At 33.1% G+C, this 15,022-nt stretch overlaps 1 protein-coding gene across 2 annotated transcripts in view; it reads left to right on the top strand.

Moving 5' to 3' along the window:
- The window catches only part of MMP16 (matrix metallopeptidase 16), a 295,473-nt gene that overhangs the window by 185,519 nt on the left and 94,932 nt on the right, over positions 1-15,022 (top strand). Inside the window, exon 1 of one of the 2 annotated variants that reach the window (XM_024447154.2) lies at positions 5,370-13,864. The exons of the other annotated variant lie outside the window; for it this stretch is intronic. The gene's annotated coding sequence lies outside the window, so the exon portion shown is untranslated. Of the gene's footprint in view, positions 1-5,369; positions 13,865-15,022 lie in introns of those variants that run through there. 2 annotated transcript variants of the gene reach the window in all.

The following is a 15,022-nucleotide window of genomic DNA, read 5'->3' as shown; positions in this document are numbered from 1 at the left end:
CTAACCTTGGCGACAGAGCGAGACTCTGTCTCAAAAAAAAAAAAACATATTTATGTGCATAAAATTTAGTTTACCACTCTAGCTATTTCTTTAGAATAGAGTCACATAATTATTTGACCAAGGAGCATGAACATTTTTAAAGAACTTAATATGTTGTTATGTTGTTTTTCAGAAATGCAGAGCAAGTTTATACTCCTACCAGTAATATGTAAGAGGGACAGTCCATTTGACCCTGAACATGACAATAACTATGAAAGTAATGGTGAAAATAATAAATTGCAAATAATAATAGTATTACTGAATATCAAATTCTGTTAAGTGCCATAGGTGAATTTTTATTTAATCATCACTGTACCTCTATTAAGTAGATTCTGTTATTATCTTAACTTTACAGATGAGGAAAGTGAAACACAAAGAATTAGATAATGTGTCTGAGGTAATAGTTGTAGGTGGGGATTCAGGTTGTATACCCAGATAGGATGGCTGCACAGCAGGCACACAGATTCAACCACTCGAAGCTATCCACATGAGTATTAACTCCAGCTAAATACCTGATTTTTTTCACCTTGACCAATCTAATAGATAAAAATTTAATTTCACTGATTTATATACTTTCTTAATACTGAAAGGCACATATTTTGTGTGTATTACTCCATTGTATGTGTTTTGTGAATTTTCACTAGCTATTTTCTGCCTTTGTGCCTATTAGACTACTCTACTGAGTTATTTTCATTAATTTGTAAGACATCTTTAAATAGAAAGGATATTAATTGATTATTTCATTTCCTTCCACTTGGTCATTTGCAGGAAGTGGGAGAGAGCCAAACTTTTTTCACAAGAAATTATAAGGAGGCTGTCTCCCTTCGACTTGCGTATGGAGAGTACCTTTCACTTAATTTGGGTACCAGGCTAGCAGTTACAGTTATTTTCTCTGTGTTGCATTACATTTATTCTGTTCCACAAAAATATTTTATTGATAAACTGGGAAGGACTAGTATTCAAATTTGATCCTAATGATATTTTAATTTTGATGACTTTTCACATAGAACCTCCTTTTGTTTTTGGAGTTTTAAATTTTCCCTATTGTAATATGTAGAATACATTTCTTAATTTCTTTAAGCGCAGAGTCTGATTTTGCAGACAGTATTTTATCTATTTTCTTTTTACAAATTTTGATATGAAATAATTGGTTTTCTGAATTCTTGTAGGCAGCAGTTCTTTCTAATCAAAATGTTATGAAATATGCTTAATAAGGTTATTAAGACTTTTGAAAAATATAGGAAAATATTAAAAAGAACTTAGTTATATATTCAATATCTCACCAAAAAAATCATTCAGTAGGATGTTATTCATAGCAACAGCAGGAACCAGATTAATTTCATCTTCCCAGTTTCCATAATTGAATAAATTATAATTTGAGTTTAAGGCACATGTGGCTGTTGTGGTGCTTCTAAAATATATCTACAAATTCTTTGACACTTGTCCCATTGAAACATAGATTCTAATTCATCTCCCAATGAATATGAGTCATACTTAGTGACTCCCTTCTAATGAATAGAATGTGGTAGAAGTGATGCTACGTGACTTCTGAGACTAGGTCATAAAAAGGATATAGTTTCTAACTAGAGCTAACCCTTTCTGTCTCTCCCTCTCTTACTCTCTTACTCTTTTATTTCTCTTCAAGATATTTGACTTTAGAGTACAGTCACTGTGTTTCACAGAACCCTAGGCCATATGAGACCCGAGACCCAAGTGGAGATAGACTTCCACCAGTGGCCAACACCAATTTGCAAGTTCTGTGAGTGAGCCACTTACCTTGAAGTAGACTCCAGCCTCAGTCAAGTCTAGAGAAGAATGCAGACCCAGACCGTATCAAATTGCAATTTCTCTAGAGACCCCCAAGGTAGAACTCCCTAGCCAAGGCTTTTCCAAATTCCTGGCCCAGAACATTAAGGAAATATAGCAAACGATTATTGTTGTTAAAATGCAGTAAATTTTTAGAGATCAGTGATACAGCATTAGATAAATAACATAGCTTTCTAAAAAAAGAAAAGAAGGTTATTTTCTAGGAAATTACCTAAGAAAATAGGAACTTAAATTACCTAGGAAAATAGGAATTTAAATTTCCTGTTTTCTATGAAATTAACTAAAACATTCAAGACAAAGAAGTATAGCAATATTTTGAAAGTAAAAGCATAGAGAAGAGGTAGGGAAAATGTATACAAATTACTAATTGAAACATGGCCAATTTTTTAATTAACATTAACATTATATTTATTCAGTAATTAATGGCTATATAAAAATTGAATGCTATTAACTTTGATTCTTCTGCTCATATCAGAAAATAAAGAAGAGGGTAAAAAAACTGGCAATTATCCCTGCTTTTCCCATGTTTTGTGGAAAGAAAGTCAATAAATACGTAGACTGTGTAGACAGAGAATACAAAAGCTCCCTACATATGTATAAATGGCATGTCTCTTTTTTCTTTCCAAATGTTTTTACTAGAGTCTTAAATGATGGTTTGAGTAATGCCCAAGTGTGAATTACTGTGAGTTTAAGTGGAATAACCTAAAGGAGAGATGGGGTAGTATACTCACCTGACTAGGGGTATTTAATAATGGGATACGCCGATGACCTATCATAAATTGTTTGAGAAGAGAATATATTGAGAAGCACCTGAAATTTTAAGGACCCTAAATTCACTGAAGAAGAAAAATGCTGAGGTAAATTTGCAAAGCTATAAGGGGAACTAACAGATGATTGAGCATAAATTGGAAGATGTGCTTATTATGAGAATGTGTAGTAATTTTTCTACAGAAAAAGATAATGCAAATGAGACATAGACAATGTCAGCATCTGAACAATCAGCTGTAAGTGAAGAATTTATTATTTGGTGACAAAATAACCTAGAGATAATTTAGCAGAAAAACATTTTTATGTCCCAAAATATGTTTAGAATTTAAGTTACCAGAAACATTTTCAAATGCCTTTATTGCTCACTGGCAAAGTCAAAAAAGTGATTGAGTGAACCTGAAAAACATAAATGCCTTGGCTATGTTGACAGAGCTTATAGCAAACCAACATTCCCATTGAGATCAAGAAAAGACAGATAAAATAACATGCATATGTATGTATATGTATATGTGTATGTGTGTGTATTCAGAGATATAAGAGAACCACCAGGATATCCAAGACATGAGATGTGAAGATCCTGGTGAAAAAGGAACCAAAGAAAGGTGAGCTTACATACTTAGGTGATCTTAGGACATTTGCCAATTCTGGTTGAGACTTCAGGTTGAGGGTTGATACTATCTTACAGAGAAGCCAAGATAACTTTTAGGAATCTTCTGGAGATAAGGAGACAACAAATTGGAGTGTGAGGCCATGAAGGAAGCCACGATTAAGGGGCCAAGATCCGTGAGAGTAGGGAAGCACCAAGATGTAAATTCCAATACTATTTATTGTTCCTTTCAAGGTTTTACCAAACTCATAGCCTGCACTGGATGAAAATCTAAGAGCCAGTCAAAAAGCCACTGAAACACAAAATAGTCTTCAGTTGGCTCATGGTTGTGAGGCTACGAAAATTAGAGTATAGGGCCTGTTAGGCCCTATACTCTAGGGAAGCACTACATTAGCACAGTTGGGACATCTAGAGAGTCAGCCTTAGAACAGGGTCTTAAAGAGAATGTAACCAGACTCCTCAGTCTCCAATAGGACACAGGTGATTTGCCCAATTTTAAGTCTTTTTCAGAGGATAGGATGAATATAGATGAAAATATTATCCAGCTTCTCCCCAATATGTATGCACACTGCCTGGTATTCAGTAAGATTGCCAGACATCCAAAAGAAACTAGACCTAGGAAAAAAAACACATACACACATGATTCAGGTGTTGGAATTATCATTCAGTCTTTAAAATAATTGTGACATATATAACTAAAAAGTAGATTTGAGGTTGCAATTTCAACTGTTAAATGAAATATATTGCAAAGGATCAAATAGAAACCCTAGAACTAAAAATATACAATAACTGAAATTAACAACTCAATAGATGTATTTCATAGAAGAATGGGCACAATAGAAGACAAGATATGTGAATTGAAAGAGACTAGTGTCTATCTTCCAATATCAAGAAAATAGAAAATATCCAGGCTTAAGCACAAAGAAATCAAGAAGACAGAAGAGAGGGAGCGCAAAATGAGTAGAGACATGCATATAGGACACAATGAAAAAACATCTAACACCTATGAAATTAAGATACTTCAAATGTGAGAAAGTGGAGAAAAAAGAATGAAAGCAATGTATAAAGAGAAAATTGCAGGAAAGTTTCTAAAACAGATGAAAAACATCACACCACTGAACAAGTGTTTGAACCCCAATCACATTGAATACAAAGATTATTACTCAGACATGTCATAGTAAAACTAGTTAAATCCAAAGAGAACATCTTAAATGCAGTCAGAAGAGGCAAAAAAATGAAGGCACATTTGTTTAAGAGAATAAAAATAAAATTGGCACCTGACTTCTCAATGTCAGCATTGAAAGTTAAAAGACAGTGATATTGACAGCTTTAACGTATTTAAAGAAGTACAGGTTCGGTATTCCTTATCCAAAATTCCAAATTATTGGGACCAGAAGTGTTTGGGTTTTGGGGGGGAGGAGTTGCCTCTAAAATAGGGCAAGTCTCAGACCCTTTACAGTCCTAAATGTAAACAGACAACTCCAAAATGGCAAAAAGAAATAGGTAACCCAATATGAAAATAGATAAAAGACTTCAACGAGCATTTCACAAAAAAAGAGTATACAAATAAGCGTATGAAAATTTGTCAACATCATTACTCATCTGGAAAATCTAAGTCACAATGTGATATCACTCATCCACCAGAATAGCTAATAAAAATATTGATGATAACAATTATTCAATTGTTCATGAGAATGTGGAACAGATGGAGTTCCATACAGTCCTGGAAAAGGAGAAAAAAAATATGTATATAACACATACACAAACATATGTATTAGAACTGTTTGTCACTATGTAAGCTGAATATATGCATGTCTGTTGAACAAGTATTTTAGTAGGGGGTGGGGAGTGAATGTAATGGTATAATGTGGTGTGGTGTATGAAAACATATGTAGTGGAATATTCATAGCATTGCTATTTTTAATAGTGCCAAACCAGAACAACTCCAATATTTATCAACACCAAAAATATAAACCATTTATTTATTCAGTGGAATGAGTTAAATGAATTTAATTCATATTAAATATGAATTCATTTTATTTAATGTATTTAATATGAATTTAATTCATTTAATATATAATTAATATGTATTTTGTTTAATATGAATTTATTTAATATGAAGTTCAAAAATGAGCACCCTAATCTGTGGTTATCAGGCTCTGATAACCGTTCCTTTGGGGATGTAGCAACCAAGAAGGAGACTCAAGCAGATGGATTACCAGTAACATTCAATTTCTTGATCTGGGAATTGATTACATAGGGTTTTCAATTTATGATGATCAACTGACCTGTACACTTAAGATTTGTGCAGTTTTATAGTATGTACATTTTACATTAATGAAAATTAAAGTTTTTAATTTGATTAAATTGAGAAAGACATGGGAACCCACACAATATGGCAGACCTCTGCAGTTTGTAGTCAAGCTCTTACAGTGCTTAGTGTCTATTTCACTCCTCCTACACTCTCAACTGGAGTTTTCCAGGCTCCTGTCAGAGGTCATCCTTGTATCTTAGTTGTCAAATCCATGAACCTTTTTTAGTCATCTCTTTCTTGACATCTAATTTTATTTAACCTCTACTTTATTAAAAAGTTTAGCTCTTTTTAACTTCCCAGTAGGCTACTCACTCTGTCTTCTACTGTTTGAACTATTCCGAGTTACTCTTCTTCAAGATTTCCTTTTTCCATGTGCCTCTACATTTTGACCCATGGATTTTATTATCCTTTCTTTTGTAATCTTTCTGTATCTTTTTTCTGCCTGTTTATTTATTGCTATGGTTTAACCCACTTATATAATAAAAACCTGTAAGAGCATTAATACTGAGTCGGTTTTTCTTCGAGAGTTCCAAACCCAAATTTCACTGTTCCATAGGAATCTCATCTGAATAAATTCAAAAGTTAACTTTTCATGTCCCCAGACCTGCTATAGTTTTTTATATTGTCTGCCTTTGTTAATATATCATCATGTAATTGTCCAAACCAGAAACCTGGTATTATCCTGGATTTTTTTGTTTGTGTTTGGTTTGTTAATTTGTCCGTTATCTCATTTTCTCTCCACAATAACATGGTTACGTCGATTCTCCTCTTTATATGTCTGTTATGTCATCCATGACACTTGCCATCCATGACATTTTTACCTTAGTTCATTATTTCTTACACAGGCATTTTGATTAGAGCACAACTGGTCACCCTGACTCCAGTTTTAAACCCCAAGACTCAGTCCCACAACAAAATCATAATAGAACTGTTCATTTCATCTGAGTCTTTACTAGCCTGTACATACTTCTGTCTTAGAACCTGCAACACTTGTAAAATATCCTTGAGTTTGCTTACCTATCTATCTATTATAGACTTAAACTGGGACCTTATTTTATTGACCTCAGAAGCCACTGTGCTTGCAGCATTTTAGATGCTAAGCATATGGCTATTGAAAGGATATCTCTGTGATTTTTAGCTATTTGTATTTTTGAGTTTATCAGTCTCCCTTATCAGACTAAGCTCATTAACAGTCAGGTCAATGTACTTAATCTAATACTCAATAAATGTTTGCTTAATGAATAAATGCATGTAGTAGAATTAAGTTTGGCTGAAATAAACTTTGATTAGGAACTTGTAAAGGACTAAAAGATTAATAAAAAGAGCTTTAAAGTAGCTCAAAGGAAGAGAATCATATAAAAATTCAATGGAATAGTTGTGAGATAGTGAATTCATTATAGGAAAAGGAAAGATTTATTTCTTATCCTTTTTTTAATGATGAAAAAGCTTATTTGGGAAAATTCTGTTAATATTCTTTTCCAAACATGAACAGACTGAAGAATTACCAATCAGATAGCTATCAATCTTATGATATTTTAGAACAATACATAAAAATAAACCTACATATATCAGTGGCATCAGATCTAGGTGTTTCATAAGGTGGCGAAGAAAAATAAAGATTAGTGGATCACACACATGTCTAGCCAAGCAAGGTAGTAGAAAAAAAATAAGGGATGGGTACAAAGAACATTTGTATTAAATAAGCTGCTAGGGGAAACAGCAACATTGTCTCTAGAAAGGATAATACTTGATGAATTAATTGGAATGTGTTGAGAGGAAAGTTAGAAAAATATATAGAGAGGAGATAGATACATGGTTTAAAATTATTTAGACATTCATAAATCTTTGACAGTGTATAATACCAAAGACCCCAAAACCTAACCCCTTTTTTATGAAAAAAAAATTGGCTTACAAAATAGAAAATAAAGTGTGTAGAAAATACAGGTACTTCTCTGAGTAAAAATAGTTTCTTGGGAAGATCTGTTCTAGGTACATATTTTATAAAAATTTGAATATCTTCAAGTTTGAAGTTGAATTAAACCTTACTGGATATTGAATATATAAGGAAAGAGGAATAAAAACAAAATTTCTTTATCTATGTAAGTGTGAAGAAAGATGCTTTTAATAATCTAAGAGCTACGTGTCTTTAATATTTTAGTGGACCAAGGGAGACTCTGGGATTTTGAAAGCAATTGCTTATGGTTATTATTTTTGTTAGAATTGGTGACATATTGCTGGAGTTAGAGTTTCTCATTAGCTGCTAAGAAGCATATGTTATAAAATAATTTAAAATTGCATATTCATATGCACATTTTTCCACAAGTGTTTTACATCTCTCTACAGGAGTGTCTTCCTTTTTAAATAGATGTCTGCTTTTGGAGGCTCTAATTAGTTATCTTTTCTTTGTTTTTACATTCCATTTTATTTACAACAGAAAACTGTGCTTAATGCTGTGTATACTGATACTGAATTGCAATCTACCTTCTTTCCTTTTATTTTTTATATGTTTCAACTTGAAGATTATATTGCAAGATGAAGGTCAGCAGGATACAAAATGACAAAAAGTGATTATAATTAATATGTTAGATGATGATATGATAGTTATAATGCGAACCATGATAATTAGAGAAAACCAGTGAATTTTTATATTAAAATTTTAATAATGTCTGTCACATTGTTAATTCAGGTTCTAAGTGTTGTATTTAATTCTGCATCATTATTTTAAGCTCTAATTTTTTTTGTCAAAAAATGGCTACTAAGACTTAAGAGTCATTAATATGAAAATATGTCTGCATAATCTCTTTGTCAAAGGTAGAGAAGGATGACTGAATTACTCATTATAGCATGTAAGGAATGTGACTACTGTAGCAAAATGAATAGAGAACATATTCTTCAGATATAAACAAATCCTATAACTCAAACATTAAAAGTTCAGTTTACCCATCACTAGCTCCTGATTCTCCAGCCTTTGTAGAACAGTAACTGAGGAGGGTTATTGAAAACTCCTAGTGGACAAGACAATGATAAAGAGGGCCCTGTATTTCTGCCTGATTATTGGGAGAACAGTTCTGAGCATAAACACTTCATTTCAAAATTTAGCAAGTCAGAGCTGTATAATTTTTCTTTATCTAAGTGTCATGTTGAAAAGTAGCAGATTTTGAAGCTTGTATTTTTTTTCTTAAGAATCAAATTTAATAAAGGTAATGGCAAGATAATTCAATACGATTCTTTTTTCCTCTCTGCTTAAGTAACATGAATTCCCAAAACAGTATGTGGAATAAAAATCATTACAGTTTAGATCATTTTCTATTATCATAGAAGAAAAAAAAGGTACAGTGTTAAAGGGGAGAAAAATTGCTGACTTTGAATACAGTAGACCTAGGTTTGAATCCTGGCTTTACCAGTGATTAGCAGTACTCCTTGTTATTTATTTAACATTCCTGAGTATCAGTTTCTTCATAGGAAAAACTTAGATGGAAGACTTTCCCTTGCATACATATTACAATGAGTGCAAACACCTAGTACAATATCTAAAACCCAGAAATTGCTTCAAGTGGTAGCATTCACTATTGTTACTGGTGTTGGAGTAACCAGCCCCCAAATGGCCACCAGTGAGCCACCTCTGGATAATTATGCCTTGGTATAATCCTCTCCTCCTGAGTGTAAGCTAGGCAAAGTGGCTCACATCTAATGAATAGACTATGGAAGAAGTAATGGTGAATCACTTCCAAGATTAGGTTATAAATGACTGCAGGTTCCAGTGCAGGCAGTCTTTCTGTCTGTCTCATCAGTCACTATGGAGGAAGCCAGATGACATGTCATAGCCAACATGTGAAAAGAGCCCACATGGTGAGGACCACATCTCTGTCCAACAGATAGCAGGATCCAAAGCTTGCCAACACGTCCTAATTGGGCTTTGAAGCAGAGCCTCCCCTAGTCAAACCTTTTGACAGCTCCAGCCAACAGTTTGAAACCTCACAAAAATCTGATCTTGAACAACCCAGTTAAACTTCTCTCATATTTCTACCCTTAGAAATTGTAAGACTATCACTGACTTTTGTTTTAAGCTGTGGATTTGTTATGTAGCAATGGCTAACTTAAACAATATTATCATTCTTGAAGTTGTTTATGAAGTACAATTGAAAAATCGTATTTTAAAGAGTCTTTCCAAGGGTTTTCAAGTATTGAAATTTATTCTTACGTATATACACAATCTTTATTTTTTTTACTTTTCACAAAGGGATGTACGAGTAATTTAATGGCATATTTTAAAAAATCTCTATTTCTCCACAGCTAAAATAGATTTTGGTAAAAATCACTTCACTGTAAGGATAACTAACAAAATAGAGCAGGACAAGGCCAGAGGGAGTATGTGAAAATAGTCAAAGCAATTTCAGAGGGAAATTCTACCTCTGCAGAAGACATATCCCTTGCAGCAATAAACGACATAATGTAATGAATGGAATCATTCATAAACAGTTCAATTCTCATGTGTTAACCTTGACCATCCAAGGTTGTTTGATCAAAATAAAACATACTAAAACTTTCAACAATGAGAGAAGAGGGGCAAATGTTTCATCACTTTTATATGTGTTGTGGTATTCCAATGAAGAAAGTGAGAGGGGTAAAAATTATTATGGTTTGTTAGGGGAACTATTAAGAATTAAGCTACGTGTGGGTGAATAGTGACAGATGGGTTGGATAGGAAAGTCTAAACCAGATTATGAAAGGTAGTTTTTAATGAGTAATTTCAACTGTAATAAGAAACTATTTTAGGATTTCGACCAATAAAGTACTGTGATAATAATGATGTTTTGTTAACACTCCATTAATATGGTATAGGATGGTAGATGTTGTCTAGCAGAGCACAGTAAATTCCTTGGAGACTCTTGTATCTCCTATGAATAGTGTGTGTTTCTGGTTGGGCATACAGTGGACAATATATTCTTGCTGTATGTTATTAAAATTCATGGAATCTAGCAGTCCATGAGCAAACATCAAAGGAAATGATAGTCCTTTTTGGTATCAACATTGATTCTTTTCTTGTTCATTTGTGTCATAAGATTACATTTATATCTTTTACGTTAGTTTAGGTGATGAAATTTATGGAAGATTGTGTGTGTGTGTGTGTGTGTGTGTGTATAATACTATAGATAGTCATACTCAGCATAGGGAAGAAAGACTTTGTATTCAAACAGACCTGGATACAAACTTGCCTGTACCACTTACCAGCTTTTAAGTTATTTACACCAAGCCTTTATTTCTAAAAGCGCTATCTGGGGTGATTACGTCTACCTTAAAAGATTTTTGTATGAAGAGTCTGGGCCATAATGGGTACCCCATGAATGTTGCTATTATCCTTTAGTAAATGAAGCAACTGCTTCCCATTAATTAGGTTCTTTGCAATCAAGACATAATTAAAAGGAAAAGAAATCTCACAATTAGGGATTTACATCCCTTGCCTTTTTTTGAGTCAATATTTCTAATACATTTTTAAGTGTTCCTGTTTGCTGGAAGAAATTTCCAAGACTACAGTGAAGTTATTATACAAATTTATTTCCTTAGAATCTGTAAAAATTATGAAACATAAGTGCTTTATTCATTGCTCTACTTACAAACCACACACACACACACACACACACACACACACGTATTTCACAAGACATTTAGGTTATGGTTCCCATCCAAGTCATGTATCCTAGAAAGAAAACATTCCTCAGAACATTTGAAATTCTTAACCACGTTGCCAGCAGAATAGTCTGCCAACTCCTAAGCGAAAACCCAGGCCTTTCAAATATTTGTTTACTAAATAAAAATAAGACAAGATATTTTGCTGCACCTACACTGAAATAATTTAAATATGAATTTTAGTTACAGAATATGTGGAATAAACCACAGACGAATGTAAAGTATATCTATCATTAAAAAAAGAAACGTCCTTTAATTTTCATTTCCATTTTTATCTTGCTATTTCAGTTCTGCCTCTCTAAATCCAAACTAAAGAAAGCAGATAAGGAAGACACTTAGGTTACATCATATCCTTTTGCAAGATGCTGAAATATGTTTTAAAATTTGCTGTGTGAATACTAGGCCATGCATGAATCATCTGATTTTATTGGTATGTGCCATGTACACGTCTATTTTAAAGTCCACTACTTTACTAAAATATTTTGATAAACTGGCTCAGTTAATCCTCGCTAATTTTGACTGCACAAATAATTACTGAATTTGTGATTTTGCATATTATTTTTTAAATTCATACATTAAGGATAATTTATCAAGCCAAACTTTACATGTATTACATTGATTCTTAGAAAACAAATATGAGCTCAAGTTACTGCTGAAATGAGAATTGCAGAAAGGCAAACACATTTGTCTTTTCTTATTAGCATCAATAGCTTTAATCAAGCTGGGAAATCTTATTTAAAATAAATAACTCTTTGTCAGAAATTCCTGAGTTGTTGATTTCAAGCTCTGGGTAATCACTCGATAGGCCAACAGTAAATTAATGCCAAGTGTTCCACTGTCAAGTATAAGGTTCACAGTATGCTAAAAAAGAAATATATATATACAATTTTTGTTTGTCTATGAATTTTTATACATATATGTGAAACCTACTCTAAAAAATACATCATTATATTAAGGTACTAAGGTTATAATTTTTTTATATTTTGTATACTCATTTTGGTCTAGTTTTGCTATTGTATATCTTTATGAAAAAATACATGCTTGGGAGAGTATGGAAAGAGGGTTGCTTTAGAGAAAAACTAAAAATAAAAACTCTAAAATATTAATAGAAAAAACAACCTTTTCTTTTCTTTTTTTTAATATTTTTTGGCAAAACAGGCTCTTCCAGAAAAGAGCTTCACTTAGGGAACACAGGGAAATGATCAGGAAATCTGAATGTGTCAAGATAAAGTTATCACACTTCTTTACTATACTTGCTGTTGTTTATGTATTAATGTTTTATAAAAACAAATTTGTTTATAAGTTTTTAATCTCTGTACAAACACTTGAATATAGAGGGTTGTTTTCATTAGCTTTTGCTTTGTTTTCTAAAAACAGGAAATTGTTTATACCTAGGCCATCAGGTCTCTAATATAAAAAAATGAATTAGGTGGCAATGAACTGAAAATAGCAAAATTTGGAAAACAACTAAAATTCTATCTTCCCTCAACTTTTAAATTCTATTACTAATTTAATCTCCTACTTGCAGAAAATAAGCAGTTTACTTGAATATAGGTTAGTTGCTTCTATGTATGTAAATATATCCAGGTGCAGAGAATCATGTTACATGGGTTTACTCTGAGGGCCATACACACCTACTCTAGTAACTCAATACACAACTATAACATCTGTAACATCTTTTCACTTGATTTCTGGTTAATTCTCTCTTGCTACTTCCTTGATATTGGAATTTGTACATCCCTTCTGTGAGGGTCTCTATTCTAGTCCTCAAGAGCTGGGAATTTAAACCCAATCATTCTCCAACATTTATTCTTCTTTAGGAGGTGGAAATGAACCAGAAAACCTATCTAAGTCTGTTTATGTGCCCAAATGAGTCTGACCACCATCCAGATCTTTAGGATCCCTCCTTCCACAGCCTATAAATACTTTCCCAGTATTTTCTTGGGGATCCATAGTCATGATTGGTTTTACTAAGTATAGAGAGGAGGTCTATCAATGTGATTAGAAGATCTTTTTTTGCTAATCATTGCTAATCAAAATAAGGCTCCTCCCTTCCCATAGAGACAGGAAGATGAGGACTCTATCTTGCTTGATGATTACATTCCAAAGAATGGCTCCCAAATCCCAGAGAAAGACATTCCTAGGTTGTAAAACTGTCAAGAGTCTGCGATAATATGTACATCTGAAAGTAACAAAGAAAGGATTTATATTTGAAAGTTTCCTATAGTAAATGTTTTAAGAAAAGGGAAGTCTGGAGCTTATGGTCAGGAAAAAAACCTGTCTAAAGTTTAGTCAAGCTGTAGGGAAAATTAGGGCCATCTAAGATATAAGCTACCAAATGCATCTTAAATTCAATTGCTGTGTAAGTTACCCTTTATTTATGCTTTAATCAGAATTGTTTCTTTAGTGTAGGATCAGAAGTTTTTTCAATGTAAAATAAAAAAAGTTTCTGGTGTCCAAATGTGTATGCTTAGAAAGCAGGAATTTTGTGAACAAAATACACTAATTGTTTTGCTAATTATTCCTCTCATATGCAATTGTGCAAGCATGTACTGGCTTCCAACTTTATGAAGGATTCAAAAGGCTGATAGGAAACAGAGGCCGTTCTCCGCAGCATGCAGGTAAAGACTGACCTTGAGCTTGCAGCTGGAATGCTATTTAGAAAGGCCATACCTTTTCCAGTTCTGTGTCTTTGCATGACAGTAAGCTCAATGCCCTTCCTCAAAAAGAGCCAACCCATCTCCTTGTTATGAGCCAGCCCTTATGTATAACAGCTTCGTATCAGTGGTGTTACAGTATGTCTTCAAGCAGTTTTCTTGTAGGGTAAGCTCACATCAGCAAAGTGCTTGAAAGATATAGCAGAATGCATATGGGAACTACAATCTAGATGTGTTGGTACAAGCAAATGTATGAAACATTTTATAAACTTTTGTACCATTTCCTGCTAATTATTCATTATTCATTTAAGCGCAAGATTTGCAGAGAAAAGCCAATGTAAGGTACTATGTGAAAATAATGTGAAATATTTCTATATGAAATTTATATGGACAGCCTTTAAAAATTATAACCTTGAAAGTTCTAATCAAAATCCATGTTAAGTTTTCTGTTTTTGGAAATAATGAGAGTAAAATATGAAATGATCTTTACATGGAATTTGGTGATTTAGGGGTTATGGCCAACAGTAATGTAATAATGTAATAATGGTTGTTGGTCATAACCCCTAAATTCAAAAAATGATTTCAAATCATTATATCACTCTCACATACTTCCATTGCTCATTTCAACTCCTGTTTTCTGTTCCCTTCATCACTACCTTAGCCCTCATCACCTAATTCTTTGTCTACTGAAGCAGTCTTCTAACTGCTTTCTTTGCCATCAATCATTTCATATTGCATCATACTCCAATCATATTTGCATACTGAGGCCAAATTACTGTACAGCAATATCATTTCAATGTCAGACTTTCATAGTACTGTGTTATCTCCTACATAATAATCACACTCAAACCTAGCATTCAAAACTCTCCAAAACTTGAGCCCAGTATATTTCTCAACTCTGTCACTCACATATGTTTGCATAGTAACCATGTTTAACCAGTTGGTGCACTAGTTTTGGTAAAGTCAGAACTGATATTTAGATTCCTGTTCTGGCACATAACAGCCTTTTTACTTACTGCGATCCAGTGTACTGGAGTTTCAATTTCTTTTCATGTCATTTAGTATCTACCTCAAAAGTTTGTTGTAAGGTTTGTTGATTACAGGAATACTCGCAGTGGTAGA

The sequence above is a fragment of the Homo sapiens genome, chromosome 8 (assembly GCF_000001405.40).
Source record: "Homo sapiens chromosome 8, GRCh38.p14 Primary Assembly".
NCBI classification, from domain to species: Eukaryota; Metazoa; Chordata; class Mammalia; order Primates; family Hominidae; genus Homo; species Homo sapiens.
The sequence above is the reverse complement of the archived record's forward strand: the minus strand, read 5'-3'. Positions and strand labels throughout refer to the sequence as shown.